Source organism: Homo sapiens, chromosome 22, assembly GCF_000001405.40.
Source record: "Homo sapiens chromosome 22, GRCh38.p14 Primary Assembly".
NCBI lineage: Eukaryota > Metazoa > Chordata > Mammalia > Primates > Hominidae > Homo > Homo sapiens.
In genome coordinates, this window is record NC_000022.11 from 34,177,872 (window position 1) to 34,196,437 (window position 18,566).

The 18,566-nt window shown below is 42.2% G+C and overlaps 1 long non-coding RNA gene across 22 annotated transcripts in view, besides 1 other annotated feature; it reads left to right on the forward strand.

Moving 5' to 3' along the window:
• The window catches only part of LINC01643 (long intergenic non-protein coding RNA 1643), a 201,365-nt gene that overhangs the window by 160,440 nt on the left and 22,359 nt on the right, over positions 1–18,566 (forward strand). Inside the window, exon 8 of one of the 22 annotated variants that reach the window (NR_183596.1) lies at positions 10,314–10,554. The exons of the other annotated variants lie outside the window; for them this stretch is intronic. This is a non-coding gene — a long non-coding RNA (long intergenic non-protein coding RNA 1643). The remainder of the gene's footprint in view (positions 1–10,313; positions 10,555–18,566) is intronic. 22 annotated transcript variants of the gene reach the window in all.
• Positions 16,734–17,308: an enhancer, noted in NCBI's record as "NANOG hESC enhancer chr22:34590594-34591168 (GRCh37/hg19 assembly coordinates)". NCBI's record gives its function as "activates a minimal SCP1, AML or CMV promoter by ChIP-STARR-seq in primed H9 embryonic stem cells {active_cell/tissue: H9 hESC(primed)}" and the evidence as "EXISTENCE:reporter gene assay evidence [ECO:0000049][PMID:30033119]".

Below are 18,566 nucleotides of genomic sequence, written 5' to 3' on the forward strand. Positions count from 1 at the left end.
TGTACAAAATGACACACACACACATACTTACACACCTACACACACATAGTGAAGTGATTACTGCAGTGGAGTAAATTAAGATGTAAATAATCTCACATAGTTACTTTCTTTGTGCTAAGAGTACCTAAAATCTCCTCTCTTTGCAAATATCCAGTGTAGAATACAATATTAACTACAGTCCTCACTAGATCGCTAGACTTATTCATCCTATGTGACTGCTACTTTTCACTCTTTGGCTTAGGTATCCCCAATCTCCCCTGCCTCTGCAACCACTTTTCTACCCTTCCTTCCTTTCCTCCTTACCTCCTTCCCTGCTTCCCTTCCTTCCCTCCCTCCCTCCCTTCCTTCTTTCCTTCCTTCCTTCCTTCCTCTCCCTCTCCCCCTTCCTCCTCCTTATCCCCCTCCCTCCTTCTCCTCCCTCCTCCCTCCTCCTCCCCCTCCCTCCTCCTCCTCCTTCTCCTTCTCCTTCTTCCTCTGTAGAGATGAAGTCTCACTGTGTTGCCCAGGCTGGTTTTGAACTACTGGCTTCAAGTGATCCTCCCACCTCTGATTCCCAAGGTGTTGGAATTACAGGCATGAGCCACCATGCTTGACCTCTACTCTGTTTCTGTGTATCTATTTCTTTTTTTTTTTTTTTGGTAAGATTCCACAAGTAGTTGAGATCGTGACATTTTTCTTTCTATCTAGCTTGTTTTACTAGGCATAATCGTTTCATTCATGTTGTTTAAAGTGGCAGGATTTCCTTCCTTTTAAAGGCTGAATAATATTCCATTGTGTGTGTGTGTGTGTGTGTGTGTGTGTGTGTGTGTGTGTATACCACATTTTCTTTATTCATTCATCTGTTAACACTTAGATGGTTTCCATATCTTGGCTATTGTGAATAATGCTGCAATGAACATTAGAGTGCAGACATCTTGACAAGATGGCGATTTCATTTCTGTGGGCTTTATACCCAGAAGGAGGATTAATGGGTCATATGATATGTCTTTAGGAACCTCTATATTGTTTTTTATTATAGCTGCACCAATCTGCATTTCCAACAACAGTGTACAAGAGTTCCCTTTTCTCCACACCCTTGCCAATGCTTGTTATCTTTTTTTTTTTTTTTTTTTTTTAATACTGGTCATCCTAACAGGTGTGAGGTGATCCCATTGTGGTTTTGATTTGCATTTTCCTGAGATAACTTATTAAACCTTGCTGGCCCTCAGTTTTTTCACATGATGGATAGTAAGCTTCCTATAATGTTTAGATGTTGTTACAAAGCTGTAGAAAGAGTAAGATAGAAACTTGCCTTCTTGGAATACACAATCTAGTAAAAGAGATAAAATTGCACTGATGGGTATTTCAGTCAGTTACTGCTGCGTATTTTGCTCACATATATGTTGAATTGGGTGGGGTTTGGCTAATCTAGATTAGGCTAGGCTTGGTTCTATGCTATAGTTTGGATGCAGATACTCTCATGTGCCTCTTGTCTTCCTTGGACCAACATCTGTCCTCAGGACATTCTCCTGGCAAAGAGCAGAAATGCAAAAGGCCAGGCCCAACTATGCAAGTGCACTTCAAGCCTCTTGTTATCATACATTCTCTAACAATCCTATTGGCCAAAGCAAGTCACCTATTCAAGCCCAAAGTGGAGTTCTCCTGGCTATGCCAAAAGTGTGGTTATATAACATTAATTACCAAAGGGAGATAAAACATTTGCAGCCGGCAATTCAACTTACATCCTGTTTATTTAATAACAAGTAGAAATTCAGGGGTATTGTAAGAGAGACATACATAGAAATGTCAAAATAGTTCAAAAGTAGAAGAATTCAATTCTAACTGTTATAGAGTTCCAGGGAAATATTGTGGAAAAGGGAGGGATTAAATCTTGCAAGATGGATTAAGAACTAGATTCTTAGCCATTGAAAAGGAAAATAAAAATCCAGGCTGAGAGACTAGTATCAGCAAAGGCATGAAACCAGGGGTATGTTCAGGAATAACGAGAAGTTTAACTTGATGAGGTTCATAGAAGAAAGTTACGGTTATCAGGAAAGGTTGGGACCAGGAAAGGCTCTAATCAGTGCTTACTGACTGAATAAGGCCTGTGGCTTGGAAAGACCAGAAGGTTCTTTTTAGATATTCAGGAGCAAGTGGTCATCAATAACTTTTTCTAGTGAGGGAAAACTTGATTGATGGTCCATACAGGCAAAATACAATGTAAGATGGCAGCCCCTTAAGAAGAGAGTAATGTTATGTATAGCCCTCAGCCTGGCTGGCAGCAACATTAACCATCTGGGCATGAGCACTGAGGGGTTCAGCCTAAAGAGGCCTCAGAAAGAAAGAATGATGAAGAAACCCATTTATTTTGCTTGCCCAGGAGAGGCTGGTTTTGGGTTTTCTTCTCAGTTTAGAAGGAGACATAGTCATAGACGTTCATTGACTTAAAAGGTAGAAGAAAGAAAATGAGATTTAGAGTCAGATCATGAGGTTAAGTCTCAATTCCATCATTAACTGGCGGGGTGACCTTGGACACATTATTTCACTTTTTTGGACCTCAGTACCCTCATTCACAAAATGGGGGCTAACAATACTTACAGCTATCATAATAAGCAAACATGACAATATGTAATATGGAGTAACAGAGATATTTGTGGGAGAGGACTGTGGGTTAGGGAAAGAGGATTGAGGAAATCGGTGTTTATAGCAGCTAAAGGATTGATAAAGTGAGCTCAGCAGGGAGGAGAAGAAAATTTGACCAAAGCTGGGCAGTTTGGGTAGTTTTGTTCATCACCCGCTCCAAATTTTTTCTTATGTGCTTTTCTGTATTTGACAGTTTGGCATCTAAAGACTGCTTCCTCAATTGAAGGTATAATTTTTGATGTAAGATTATCCCAGCCAGATACATGTGAGGCTTGGGTTCACAACCAATGTAAGTGGAAGGAGGCAGAGGAAATAAATCAAGTGTTTATTTTGCCAGGATCTGGACTTACTCTGGCTCTAGAGGTCAACATTCTGATGGCAGCATCCTGAACCCCAAACTTCCCTTAAGGAGAATCGTTCCTGGACCCATAAGTTTGGCATTGGGCCCCAGATGCCTAGATTATGGCTCACATGATGAGATCCTGGAAGCAGTACTTAGAACACTGGCTTTCTGTCTCCCTAACAGCCCCACTGTTGCAGAGTTTCTCTTGGCGAGTCAGTTCTGGGATGCTCTTCTAGAGACATTCCAAATCATTTCTTACCTAGAACTTATTTCTTCAGCCGTTCTAATGATTTCATAAGCTTCTGATTTCCTGTCTCACATACACCCCCACCCCCTGCCTTTAAAAAAAATTAAACTGCATTAGTTTTTTCGTCACCTACCTTTGAAACCTTACTGGCATATTGGAGTGGCCACATCTCTAAAGGAATCGAAGGCTCCCATTTGGCTCAATTCTCCTCTGACTTCTTCAGGCTCTACTTCCAATAGCTTCCTTTAGATCTTCTGCTATTACCAGATGGCTTTCCCAAAATTAGTGATGGCTAATTTTATTTGTCAATTTGACTGGGCCAAGAAATGCTTAGATGGTTGATAAAACATTATTTCTGTGAGGGAGTTTATGGATAGATTAACGTATGAATTGGTGGGCTGAGTAAAGATTACCCTCCGCAAGGTGGGTGGGCATGAAACAGTCCATTGAGGGCCTGAATAGATTTGTGTATGTGTGTGTGTGTGTGTGTGTGTGTGTATGCGTGTGATGGAGTCTCACTCTGTCGCCCAGGCTGGAGTGCAACGGCGTGATCTTTGCTCACTGCAACCTCCACCTCCCAGGTTCAAGTGATTCTCCTGCCTCAGCCACCCGAGTAGCTGGGATTACAGCCATCTGCCACCATGCCCAGCTAATTTTTGTATTTTTAGTAGAGACAGGGTTTCACCATGTTGGCCAGCCTGGTCTCGAACTCTGAATAGATTTTTTAAAAGGTGGAGGAAGACTGAATTCTCACCTGCCTCACTGCTTGAGTTGGAACATCAATCTTCTCTTGCTCTCAGCACTCCTATTCTCAGGCCTCCAGCACTGGATTGAAATCTATGCCACTGGTTCTCCAGCTCTTAGGCCTTTGAACTACATCACTGGTGGGTCTCCTGCTTTCAGAGGGCAGATTGTGGAGCTTTTCAGCCTCTGTAATCACATGAACCAATACTTTAACATCCCCCTCTCTCTTCTTTCATCTGTTCTATTGGTTCTGTTTATCTGGAGAACCCTGATAAACTAATATACCCTGCCTCTTGCTACATACTGTGGTCAGATTTATCTTCTTAAAAGTAAATTACTAATCATATTTCTTGTGATTTCTAGTTTTAAAATAGTGAATATAGAGAGTATTTCTTCTTTGTCCTCTTGGAGATCACCCTCACAGCAACAAAGACCACCTGGAAAGAAAGGAGCTGTCCACTTCTGATGAAACCAAGGGACATCCATAACCCTAAACCACAATATATAGAGAATAGCTGCCACATGCAGTGAAGATCAAATAAGATGAGGAAGCACAGGGAAAAGATGCTCAGAGCTGCAGATATCAGGAGAATATTGCCAAACACATTTCTCTAAATACCCGGCACACCCAGAGGGCAAACCCAGCAAGCCCTTATATGGTGCAATGGAAATGGTAGTGTGGTTGATGTCAGGAGCTTTGGTGGCCCAGTTTGGCCTAAAGAGAAGACAGGACTGAATAAAAAAATTCACATAGACGAATCGTAAATTCAGAAGACAGTCTGCATGTAAGGCAAGGCAGACAAAACATAGCCATCCCCCATCCTTTTTTTTTTTTTTGACCGAGCAAGTTGAAGGATGAAATGACATTTACTGGGATGTGGAAAACTGGTGGAGATGGAAACCAGCTGGATGAGGTCAAAAGAGAATGAGAGGTGAAGAAGTGCCCCCATGAGTTTCACGGTCTCAAAAAGCAGAGCTGCCAAACTGGCCAGCAGCAGACCTTAGACACATGAGTGAGCCCAACTAAGTGCAGTAGAAGAACTAGTTAGCTGAGCCTAACCAAGATTGATGACCATGAGTTTTGCTACAAAGGGGAACAGAGTAATAGGGTAGTGGCTGCAGGAAGATGTGACTGAGGAGCATAAGCAGGTTAGTGTGCTGACAGTAATTATCTATAGGAGAGATTTTGATAATGTAGGAATTAGGGAAGACAAATATGAAAACTATTTTCTTTTTTTAAATTTCTATTTTTTAACATGGAGTTTCACTCTTGTTGCCCAAACTGGAGTGCAATGGTGATATTAAGGTTCACTGCAACCTCTGCCTCCCAGGTTCAAGTGATTCTCCTGTTTCAGCCTCCCGAGTAGCTGGGACTACAGGCACGCTACCACGCCCAGTTAATTTTTGTATTTTTAATAGAGACGGGGTTTCACCATGTTGGTTAGGCTGTTCTTGAACTCCTGACCTCAAGTGATCTGCCCGCCTTGGCCTTCCAAAGTGTTGGGATTACAGGCATGCGCCATGGTGCCGTGGAGGTGAGACAAGATGGGATCCCTTGTACAGGAGAAGGATTTGGCTTTTGATGGGAACATGTGCAGTTCATCTTTGGCAACAGAAGGAAACACAGTATATGAGAATGAACCTGATAGTTTCATGTATGTGGTGAAAGGAGTATGTTGGAGTTCTCATTGCTTTTATTTTTTCAAATAAAGAAAGCATCATTATAAACTGAGAGTAAGGTAATGAAAGAGTTGTGGGAGATTTGCAGAGAAATAAGAAGAGGCAAAATTATTGTCTAGGAGGGCAGGAGAATGAAAGAGCTAATGAAATTATGATTACTGAGTGCTTTTAAAGGGCTGATGTGAATTTAGGGGTGATAAGCTTAAGGTGAACCCAGGCAGCATGTGTGTGTGTGTGTGTGTGTGTGCGTGTGTGTGTGTGTGTGAAGTGGGAGTCAAATGGTGGTTGAATCAGTACATTGAAAGTCCTCATTAAATTAAGTAATTAGTGATGTTGAGATAATAGAATGAATGAGCAGGAAAGCTCAAAGAAAGTAAGACTAAAGATGCCTGAAACTGGGTTCAAGAACGTGGGGTGGGTGCAATTAATATTGATGATAAGATCTACCTGTGATTATAAGAATGAGCAACTAAGTTAAGTGGAGAATTAAACTACTGAAATAGAATAGACAGAGAACCTTGGAGACCATGGTACTGGGAAGATCACACATAAGAATATTGAAATTATGGCTGGGTGTGGTGGCTTGCGCCTGTAATCCCAGCACTTTGGGAGGCTGAGGTGGGTGGATTGCCTGAGGTCAGGAGTTTGAGACCAGCCTAGCCAACATAGTGAAACCCCATCTCTACTAAAAGTACAAAAATTAGCTGGTTGTATTGGCACACGCCTGTAATCCCAGCTACTCTGGAGGCTGAGACAAGAGAATCACTTGAACCCAGGAGGCAGAGGTTGCAGTGAGTCAAGATCATGCCATTGTACTCCAGCCTGGGCGAGAAAGTGAGACTCCGTCTTAAAAAAAAAAAAAAAAAGAATATTGAAATCACTCAGAATACTACTGCAGGGAGTTGCAATGGTCTTGAGGCTAAAATCCTTGAGGGATGAAGGGGATTGGCCTAGGTTTGTATAGATGACTACAAAAAGGAGAGGTAGTGAGTGATACAATCTGAGAGTATAATCTTCAAATCCAAGTTTTTTTTTTAAGGGGGAAGGGGTGTAAATTGTCTAAAAAAAGCAACAATAAACAAAAGGGACAAACATCATACCTTCATGTTCAATGATATAGAGGAATATGGTGAAGATCAGCCACTTTTGGAAAGCTTTGTAGGAGATAAACTGTCCTTAGATGTAGCCAGGTTTCACTTAGAGGAGGAAGATGAAGGGATAATTCAGAGATGTTGAGAATATAAGAGATTTTGCTGATAATGGACTATGAGTTCCAGAGGACATTTTCCAGAAAAGAAGATAGGTGAGTGGTTAAAGAACATATTTTGCCATGTGGAATTGAGAGCCCAAATGATAAGCGATGATATGCAGAGAATCTTAGAATTCTGGTGGTATCTAACATAAATAGGAATATAGGGATGATGTGGATTTCCAAGGAAGTTTGTGGTGGTGAGGTTGGAAATGTTTTCTTTGCATGTAAGTGAGTGTGTGTTGAGGGGGCGGTGGTTGAACCGTTGATCTTTTCAAGATCAAGCAAAGTTCGATGGCTTTATAATTCTATCATAAAAGTAGTAAACTTTAAAAGACATTTTATTACTAGGTTTTAAAAAACACCCCAATGAAACAATTGCCTTCATAAAATCAGAGTGTAAAATGGCTGTACAATAGTTCATAGAAAATAAGGTAAAATAAAACAAAAGTTTAAATATGTACTGGCAGAACTCAGGAAAGGAATAAAACTAAAACCCTCACAAAAATGAGGTTTCCTATTGGAAGAGACACATAAATAAAGACAATGCTTGGCTAAAAACATAATAAGTGACCGCGAGGAGAGGATTAAGAAAAGTGATTTAAGTAAAATGTACAAGGACAGAGCATTAAAATGGATTAGAAAAAAAATGATGGCAATGGAAGATGAATAAAGAAGATACAACATACATGTAGTGGACATTTCTATTTTGTTTTTGAAGTTTGTTTTAACATGGTGATAAAATATATCCTTAAAATAAAACAGAAAAATAATTATATATAAACACACACACACACATATATATATGCATATTTATATATGAAGTGACAGACATACCCTGGAGACATTGGCCTACAATGATAAACCTTGAGACATGTATTGGTTAGGTTTACTAGACTTCAAAGGTAAGGATCAATACTTTAGGCAACCAAGGAAAGTATCAAGTCACTTAAAGTTCTCAGTCTTCTCCATGGCAATTCAGATCTGGAGAGCAAGGAAGCAATGCTTATAAAATCTGTAAGAAAAAAATGATACTTTTTTAAAAACACAGCAGAACTGTTGCTTGTGTATAAGGGCAGAAGACTGATATTCTTGAGCATGCAATAGCTTAGAGAATGTATTTCCTGAGAAGCCACTAGAGGATGAACTTCAGAATGAAAGCTGGAAGTATGGAAATAAGACTTACGGTGAGTGTGAAATTCCATGTAACAGTGGGACCAAGACTAAAGTAAATTTGAAGATTATGATTGCAGAACAAAACCTTATAAGCTCTCCCAGTGTAGAAATGATTTTATTAAGAAAAGCTGAAAGGAGAAGGGGGAAAAGAATGGTAAAAGATGTCGCTATGTACACTGCCTTTCTAATCCTTCATAGCCAGAGGTTAAAAGATACCATGTCACAGATGTAATATTTAAACATATAATAATCCACTAAAATATGGTGGTAAGGAAAAAGAAGGGAATATGGTGGGGAGTTGCCAGGCATGGACTAGAGAATAGAAGAATAAGTATTGAAGGAATAATAGTTATAAAGACAACCACTAGAATAATAACAACCAAAAAATCAAACCTTTGAAAATATCAGCAGAAAAACATGTCCACTCAATTAAAGAAAGAAAAGGAACTCAGACTTTTGAATGACAGATTTAAGAAGCTTAAGTGATAAAAGCAAAGAATCATATTAAATATGGTTGTTTGGAGATGGGAAATGCTTTTCCCATTCTTAATGTTTTCTTCCATGTGGAAGCAGCTCAGTCAGTTTTACCACATTTGGCCTCTCTCTGCCTCTTTAGGTACTTTGCCCTAGGAAAGGTGAAGTGATTTCTCTATTTGGTAAATAGGAAAAGTGAAGTTATCATGCTCAGCTCAGCTCTTTCTGTTTCTCCTTGAACATGAACTGCCCTTAGGGTAAATGAGTTCTAAGCAGCTGCTTGGGGCAGTGAGTCTTAAGTCTGCATAGGGCTTGAAACCTCTCCCCTGCTGGGATAGGTGTCTGAGAGGGTACATCGCTTAAATTCTGGATTTCAGAATTAGAGGGCTCACCTGTCTAGGATTAGAACTCTTAGAGGTCTCATCTGTCTGTGAATGGAACTCTTGTCTTCCAACCTAGTCTTTATTAATAATGAACATTATATTTTGGCCTGATATTCTTCTTCTTGTCTCTCAACTTATTTAGTACACAGGTGTGGAAAGATATTATGTCTTGGACCCAATCATAAGATCCTAATAACATTGATGCGTTGAGGTTTTTGAGGGGCCAATTCAATGAGTGGTTATTTCTACTGTCTTAGGACAGAGTCTGGCACATTGTAGGCACTTCATAAATTGTGGTTGAATTACTAAGTGACAGAATTTTAGAATTTTAGAGGAAAATGGCAGCTAGTTGGTCTCTGATGTGGCTTGAAGGTGAAAGGATGGAAATGCAGGAACTATAAAGTAGCCATTTTCCATCTTGCACACAGAGCAAAGAGACATGCTTTTTTTCAGAGACAAAAGAATGAACCAGATGCTGCAGAGTTCAGCCGGGATGAGAGTTGTTGGGGTCACAGGGGAGATCGAGTTGTGGTTATCTTATTTCTTGTGGGCTTTTCCAATTTCCGGTTCCAGACCCTCAGGGGACTCTTCTGGGCTCTGCTCCCTTGGCTTCTGTGAGATGTCCTTGTATACTCCTAATAAACCCCTTCCCTTCCCCCTTTACATTTTTCCTTTAAGCTAATTTAAAGTGGATTGTTTCACATGCAGTTGAAAGACTCTTAACTAAAACCTGAGATGCTGAAGTCCAGAGCAGCTGGAGAATGCTTTCTAAGTTTACACACTTTTGAGAATTTTGAGTCGGGGCAAATAGCCAGAATGCTCTGTAGGCAGAGCAAGGGCACTTTCATGGCAAATAAATAACCACTGGGTTTTCCTCAGCTGACTGTAGTTGGTGAGTCTGAAGTCAAACTCTCACAGGACCATTAAACTTGGAGAGAAGCTGTAGAATCTAGGAATTTTTTTTTTTTTTTTTTTTTTTTTTTTGAGATGGAGTTTGGCTCTGGCGCGATCTCGACTCACTGCAAGCTCCGCCTCCCGGGTTCACGCCATTCTCCTGCCTCAGCCTCCCGTGTAGCTGGGACTACAGGCGCGCGCCACCATGCCCGGCTAATTTTTTTGTATTTTTAGTAGAGACGGGGTTTCACCGTGTTAGCCAGGATGGTCTCGATCTCCTGACATCGTGATCCGCCCGTCTCGGCCTCCCAAAGTGCTGGGATTACAGGCGTGAGCCACCGCGCCCGGCCCGGAATATTTTTTAAGATGCAAATGCTAATATGAAACAGTTAAAACCCCAACTTCCCACCTCATGAATCATCAGCAAAGTGTAGAGCTCCTGAATGCTAACCAGTTGGATACTACATCAATTCTACTCTGTAATTCTCTAAATTCTACCAGTGTCACAGATGGAGTCCAAAAACAAAATAACGGCCTGCTCCATTCTGATTCAAGTTCTCATTTGCCTGTGCCCTGCTTTCCCAAGAGCCTAGTGACTGATTGCAGACCCTTGATTTCTGTGAGCTTAGACTAATAGGTATTGCAGGCATACATTCTGGGCTGAAGATAACCAGAAAGCCAGCAACCTGATGGGAGGAACATTCATTGCACAAGCTGAGAGTGAAATGAGCTTCTACATCAGGTGGGTAAATAATTCCAGTTAATAATTCAATCCAAACTTTTGTTGAATAAAGTGAGGTTGTCACCCCAGCACCCACACCAATGTCTGGCACCCAGCAGAGGTGCAACAGATATTTGTTGAACATTGAATGAAGTCCGTTGAATCTTTGTAATTTTTCTCATATTTTCTGTTTCTCTCTGTTACCACAGTAACATCTTCATTTACTTAAGCATTTATGTGGCTGATGCCTAGTTTTCCAACTAGAGAAGTTGCTAGGTTGAGGGACAGTGTCTATTCCATTCCTGTTGCAGTAACAAAATACTGGAGACTGGATAGTTTATGAATGATAGAAACTCATTTCTCTCAGTACTGGTGGCTGGGAAATCTAAGGTCAAGGTGCCATCAGGTTTGGTGCCTGGAGAGAGGCTGTTCTCTGCTCCCAAGGTAACTCCTGTGGCTGTGTCCTCTGAAGAGGATGAACATCATGTCCTTCCATGGCAGAAGAGCAGGAGGGCAAAAGGGGTCTAGCTAGCTGTCTCCAGCCTTTTCATAAGGTGACTAATCAATCCATGACTGTGATGTGCTCATGACCTATTCACTTCTTAAAAGCCTCACCTCTTAATACTTTCATACTGGGAATTAAGTTTCAACATAGGCCAGGTGCGGTGGCTCACACTTGTAATCCCAGCACTTTGGGAGGCAGAGGAGGGTGGATCACAAGGTCAAGAGACTGAGACCATCTGGCCAACATAGTGAAACCCTGTCTTTACTAAAAATACAAAAATTAGCTGGGTGTGGTGGTGCGTGCCTGTAATCCCAGCTACTCGGGAAGCTGAGGTAGGAGAATCGCTTGAACCCAGGAGGCGGAGGTTGCAATGAGCTGAGATGGCATCATTGCACTCAGTCCTGGGCAACAAGAGCGAAACTCCATCTCAAAAAAAAAAAAAGTTTCAACATAAATGTTTGAGGGGCCATAAGCCCTCAAACCACAGCAAACCACGTTTACATTTTCTCATTATTTTTTTCCCAAGTGCCTAGCACAGTGTTTGCATATTGCCTGATCTTGATAAATATTTGCTGGATGAATACATGCTGTCTTGATTTACAAAGTGTATGCTTGGCAACTACCGGGCTCAGAAGGCTGAGTGTTTAATTTGGATGGAGGTTCATGTCCCTGCCTATGGCCATTTGACAGATCTCTTGGCAAGGATATGAGTTTTCTCTCTTTTCTCCTGCCTAGATGCTAAGGGATTGGCACCCTGGTACTTGGCCTGTTCCTTCTTTTCTGCTTGGAATGGAGGGGCCAATCTTTAGCAAATCAGGATCTGCCAAAAGTAAAAGTAGCAATCCTAGCTGTCTGTCCCATCAACAAGAGGAGATTTATTATGTAGGACCAAAGGGATATGTGTGACAGCAGGAACACTGCACAAGTCATCTGCAGGCAATACCATCTGGGGTGCTGTCTCACCTCTGTGGACCTTCTCGTTTGCTGTCACTTTTGTATGACCAACTGGGTCTGCTCTTAAGACTCTGCAGTAAAGCTGGAGAAGAGGATGAAAGGTTGGGATTCTGCTGCTCAAGAAACCCACAGCACCCAGACCTTGCAATGGGCCCCGTTTCTTTGGAGGCTCAGGAGAAACATTTTGGCTAGAGTAGGATAGGGTTTCCTGCCTTTTTCTCCCCTTTTTTTCTTGCTTTTATTCTTCACACCTGATCAAAAGGGGACCTCTTAGCATAATAAGACATTGCATTTATGCTTTATAGGGTGGTCAGCATCAGTAAGAGAGAGGGTTTGTGTCTTGTTGGGGCTCTCCTCTGCATCTTCATGGACTTGATGATACAGATTGGAGGGAGACAGCTGAGATGGACCTTTCTGGCCTGAACACAAAGGACTACATCAGACTACTCTTAACTAAGAGTGGAATGGGCATCATTGGGGAAAGTAGTGGAAAAACTAGGAGGGAAACTAAGGGATTATGGATTTTAGGAGATCATGAAGGCAAGAATTGGCACTGATTGGAAGGTGATTTACATTCACCAGAACTTCATTTGCAAGTAGCAAAAACTTAGTTTCAAATAGCTTAGGAGAGAAAAATATAAGATGGATGAGGGATTTACTGACACAGATTACTGAGAAGCCTCAGAGGTAAAGGAAGCATTTAGGCATGGCTGGATGCAGGGGCTTAGGAAATATGACCAGGAATTAGTCTTTATCTCTTGACTCTGCTTCCCTCTACAAAGGCTTCATTCTCAGGGAGGTTTTGTTCCTTCCTTGTGTGGACAACAAGGTTCTGGCAGTTTGAGACTGACACCATAGAGTTTCCAGATTTAGCAAATAAAAGTAAAGGAGGCTCTGTTGAGTTGAATTTCAGATAAACAACAAATACCTTTTTTCAGAAGAAGGAGGTCCCAAGTAGTATTTGCACTGTCCTAAATATCGCATGGGATCTTTATTTATGCTAAAAGAGTATTGGACATTCTGTATTTTATCTGGCAACACTATGACATCATCCTCACAGCAATGACTTCAGAGGAGACATCATGGTTCCCTCTCTCACAGGGTCTGTCCTCACAATGGTTCTGATAAGTCAGCTTAGGTCACGTATTCATCCCTGTGGTTGGTGAGGTGGGACCATGTAATGAAAGACCCCAGTGGGAGAGACAGTTCAGGCAGTTAGTAAATCTTTGTAAAACAGTGCTTTGTTCCAGGCCCCCCTTCTACGTGCTGGAGATTCATCTGTGAACAAGACAGAGAGGTGCACGGCTATAAGAAGCTTTTATTCTAGTTGGGGAAGGGTTGGGCAGGCAATGAGCACATACACTTATAAATAAATAGGATAATGTCACATACTGAGAAGCAGTATGGAGACGATAGAATAGGGTATTGTAGGAAATGTCTGTGGCTGTGTGTGGGTTGAGTTGTTCCCCACCTCCCCCAAAAAGGATGTGTCAAAGTTCTAATGCCCAATGCATATGAATGTGGATTTACTTGGAAATAAGGTCTTTGCAGATGTAATGAAGTTAAGATGAGGCCATATGGTGTTAAGGTGTGCCCTAATCCGATGAATGGTGTTCTTATGAAGGATATTTAACACAGACACAGAGAGGACGGTGCCACTGGAAGTCATGCAGCCGCAAGTCAAGAAATGTCATGAGTGGCTCCTCTCCAGAAACTAGGAGAGGAGCATGGGGCAGGTTTTCTCCTAGTGCCTTCAGAGACACATGGCCCTGCCGACACCTTGAGTTTGGATTTTTGGCCTCCAGAACTGTAAGTGAAAAAACTTATGTTTTTGTTTTGTTTTGTTTTGTTTTGTTTTTGTGATGGAGTCTCGTTCTGTTGTCCAGGCTGGAATGCAGTGGTGTGATCTTGGCTCACTTCAATCTCTGCCTCCTGGGTTCAAGCAATTCTCCTGCCTCAGCCTCCTGAGCAGCTGGGACTATAGGCACACACCACCATACCCGGCTAATTTTTTTGTATTTTAGTTGAGATGAGGTTTCATCACGTTGGCCAGGATGGTCTCAATCTCCTGACCTCATGATCCGCCCGCCTGGGCCTCCCAAAGTGCTGGGATTACAGGCGTGAGCCACCACAACCAGCCAACTTATGTTGTGGTGGTTTAAGTCACCAACTTTGCAGTCATTTGTTTCAGCAGCCCCAGGAAACTTGTACAGTCACAGAAGTGTGGGCTGGGTGGTCAGGGAAGAACTCTCTGAGTAAGTAACATTTGGGTTGAGGCCTAAAGGATGAGGAGGGTGCAGCTCTGGGAACAGCTAGCGAAAAAATACTTAAAAGAGAAGGAAGAGTAAGTGCAGAGCCCTGGGAGTGGACATGGCAGCACTGGGGCCAGTGTGGCAGGAGTGTAGAAGAGAAACCGCAGAGAGGGGAGTGCCCTCGGCAGGGCAGGCAGACCTTTAGTTGAGACTCCTGGGTAAAAAAAGTTGGTTTGCATTCTATTCTGCTATTTCCTCATTGCATGATCTTGTTTCTTAACTTCTTGGAATATAGATTCGAGTTTCTTCAAATATAAAATGTCTGTCCATGGAAATGCTCCTGAATCTATCAAGTGCTAGCTCCTAGGTCATTCTGGTTTATTATTTCTGTGACCTTGGATTTCCTATGAAATTTGAAATTTCCCATCCTAAACCCACTTGGATTTTTACTGCCTTTCATCATTTGCAATCTGTTTTAGCCATACCTTCTAAAATGCTTTGGTATTTAGAAAGTCCATGTTCTCTTGACTTCTAACAATGTCTTTGTCCATTCCTGGTTCTGCTTTTACTGTCCCCTGCAGGGTGCTTGATGGCTCGTGGCTGTGAGTCTGGCTCCATTAATGCGATGACAGTAGTAATTTAGGTGAGTTAGCTTTGGCACTGAGACATCCATAGTTCTTTTGGGACTAAATAGCTTGCAATTGCACAAAAGCTAGGGTTGGGGGATTCAATGTGTGGTGTGACATGTTGCTGACTTGGATACACAAAGTTGATCCCCTGACCTTGTCCTCATAAGCAATACAATGCAGCCAACTGGCCCAGAGTCATGAAACAAACCCTTCTCTCATATTGAATAAGAATGGCTTTTTCTTAAGCCAGTGGTTCTCGAACTTGCACAAGCATCAGAATCACTTGGAAGGCTGGTTGTAGCACACGCTGCTGTTGTTCACCCTCAGATAATCCGATTCAGTAGGTCTGGGATGGGGCCTGAGAATACGCATCTCTAACAAGTCCCAGGCGATGCTGATGTTGCTGGTCTGGGGACCACACTTTGAGAACCATTGTCCCAAACTATCACAGAAAGAAGACGAATATCAGAAATCTCATCACACCAATGGGGGTTGAAAGTAGGTTGGGAGTAAAAGCCTCCTGGAAGATGCTTCCTTCTTTGTCAGGAAGCAAGAACTGATTGTGAAATGTATGTACCTAAGCCCTCAAGAAGCTTATAATTTAGAAGACAGAATAAAGAGAAGAATTAAGAAAGACTCCATGGACAAGACATGTTTGGACCAGAGATACAGGTGAGAAACGACGGGGAAAGATGTTTCCAGTGCTGGGATCAGTGTGGGTGAAGATGTAGAGGCAAAGAAGCATGAGAGATCATTGGCAGTTCCTTGGTTTTAGCCAGAACAACAGGTTTCACATGTTTTTGCCCACAAGCCACAGTAAGACAAACACTTGACCTTGTGTACTCAGCACAATACACATTTTCTACTGTAGTCTTGTGTGTATACATTTATATTTATCTCCAACAGACCTTCATGGAACATTTACCATTGTATATACAGAATGCCCTAAATTTTCTATTCTGTTCCATATGGTTTTACAAAATCTAGAATATAGTTTTATTCCATATAGTACATCATGGGGAGTATAGCAGAGTGTGGCTTCTGATACAAGGCTCTCTGGGTTCAAGCCAGAATTAATCACTTTGGACAACTTATTTAACCTCCCTGGGTCTGTGTCCTTATCTGTAAAACAGGGATAGCAAGAGTGCTTATTTCCCTAGGGACAGTGTGAGAAGTATGTGAGTCTATGCAAAGTATTTGGAATGGAGCCTGCTATATAGAAAGCCATATACATATTTGTTCTTTTGCTATAAATTTCATTTTAAAATGCTTTCGTCACATACTTCATTGATTTCATGACCTTCTCAATGAGCTGCTGCCTGCAGCTTGAAGGACTAGAACTGAGGTTGAGGTAGGTGGGAGTGGAACAGATGGGTGATGGAGGTGGGGCATGTGATGATTTGGGATCCACAATACAGAGGCTCTTTAATGCTGGAGTGAGGACCCTGGACTTTGATCACTGGGTAGCTGGGGGCCATGAAAGATTTTGTTTGGGCACAGTGGTGTGATCAAAGCTGCACTGAGGAACATTAATCTGGCTGCCGTGTGAAAGCTGCAGAGAAGTGAAGACACCCTGGTTAGCAGAGAAGAGACAGACTGAGGTCCAGGCGAGAGGTGATGTGGACCCACCCGAGGGGAGAGCAGTGGGAATGCAGAGAGAAAAGGATCATGAAAGGAGCTCTAGAGGCCACACCGAGAGCATCCACCACCAAAGAAAAAATGGCTCCATGGGCTGGCAAGCCAGTCGGAGCTCTGTGGTCTCCCTCTCTACTTGAGGACAGCATTTGAAGAACTGCATCTCCCTGTCACCCTAACTGAGAGAAACTTGAGTGGGACATTAACTTCCCCTGAAGATGCAAATGGAATGGGAAGTCCAACACTGAAATGCCTTCTTTGTAGCCCTGCCAGAGGCCTAATCTGGGTCCACTCCTCAGCAGGTGCTTAGAACTGGCAGCAGTTATGCCAATGGGTGAACAGATGAGTTATTCAAGTGAGGGAACATTTCCCAGGGGAGCAACTGGAGTCTCTCTGGATGCTGAAGAATAATCCTCAGAAGTTAAAGCAGCATCTGTAACCAAATCTTCACAAAAGATCTGCAGCCCGAATTCAAGTTGCTAATGAGATCCTTGTTTATGATGTTAGATTCTTTCAGAGGCTTAGTGGGGGGTAAAGGAACTTGAGTGAGTGGGGAGGAGAGACCGACTCCTAAGAAAGTGGGTAATTAATCTTCTCCAAGGCTTAATCACATCCTGTGGTGCTGTGAGTTGGTCTTTTCAGGAGCCTCTGATATGGCAGGGTAGAGCAAACCCTGTTGTAGGTGGAGCAGACAAAATGCAGCTGTGCTCTGTGTATTCTGCAGTGGTTTTCTCAGATGCCTCTGGAACATTTATGGCTACAGCATGGTCAAGAGGGTGTGGTGCTGGCCTCTCAGAGCATCCTGTCCTGCGGCACTCTATCCAATGAATGAAGGCAACTCCCACGTCTCCTCCTTGAGGGTTTCTTATTCAGTCTCTTGTTGACACAGGCTTGTTCTTTACCCTGGATAGCCATAAAAAGAGCAAAGATTGAATGCTTATTATGAATCTGGTTCTGTTTGAATTTATTTACCATATTACTTCATTTATGGTAATCCTGTGTACTATATTGTCCTGTTCCATTTGAAGGAGAAGGAAACTGAGGCACACGTGATTTATGGAGTGTTTCTGAGGTCCCAGAGCACTTACTTGGTGGATCTGGGATTCAGACCCAGTCTATCTGACTCTAGAACCCACAATTTCACCTCCCTGGAGCTATCTTAGTCAGGATGTAGGAACTCATGTTACTCTCTTCTCCAGGTGGATTTTGACATCTCACTCTTCCTGTTCAGGTCTTCTCTGGCTTCCAAGTTCCTCTCCTACTTGGTCACTTTATTGCACAGGTAAAAGGCTGGAGATGACAGCCTCACCCCAGCACATAATTCCTGGTCCAATCCAATGGAGCCTCATCTTCCTCTTTTGAGAATCGGGACACAGAGAATGTCTTCCAACTTGGCTGCACCCTAGGAGGTTGGAGGCAAATCCTTCCATGATTAGTCCTAGGGAACTAAGGTTGGGCAAGATTAGAAATTTTTCATGGATAATATTTTAGAATTGAAGGGACAGGTGGAATTTCTATGGGTATAATCCAGACAATAGACACAGAGTGCTCCAAGTGACTTCTAAGAAGCCCCTCCAAACCTAGAAAATTATATTCATTCATTCATTTATTCACACATTTATTTAGCATTTACCATGCACTGGCAACACTGTGGTAGGCACTATGGAATTGATGAATGAGGTATCATTCCTGCCTCATGGTGACTACAGTCTAAAGGGGAGACAGACACTATAAAAAAAGAATAAATATAAAATCAAAAATTGTCAAATGCAACAAAGCATCACTTCCCATTATGAATAAGGGTGCCTCATTTTTGTGGCCTAGTTAAGAAAGGAAGGGGTTCATATCAGGATATTTTCCATTATATTCACTACTGTTTTTGTCATCCATTTGGATAAAAATATTTCCAAAATGTTCACTTGGTGTGTAAGAGGATAACGTTCCAGAAGGAGCCCCATCCATTCATGATCCCAGACTCAAGCCACATGTGGTCAGTTACCTAGTGATTAAAGGTGAAATGAGGGCCTTCCAGAGGGCCCAACTCTCTAGTCCCTCTGG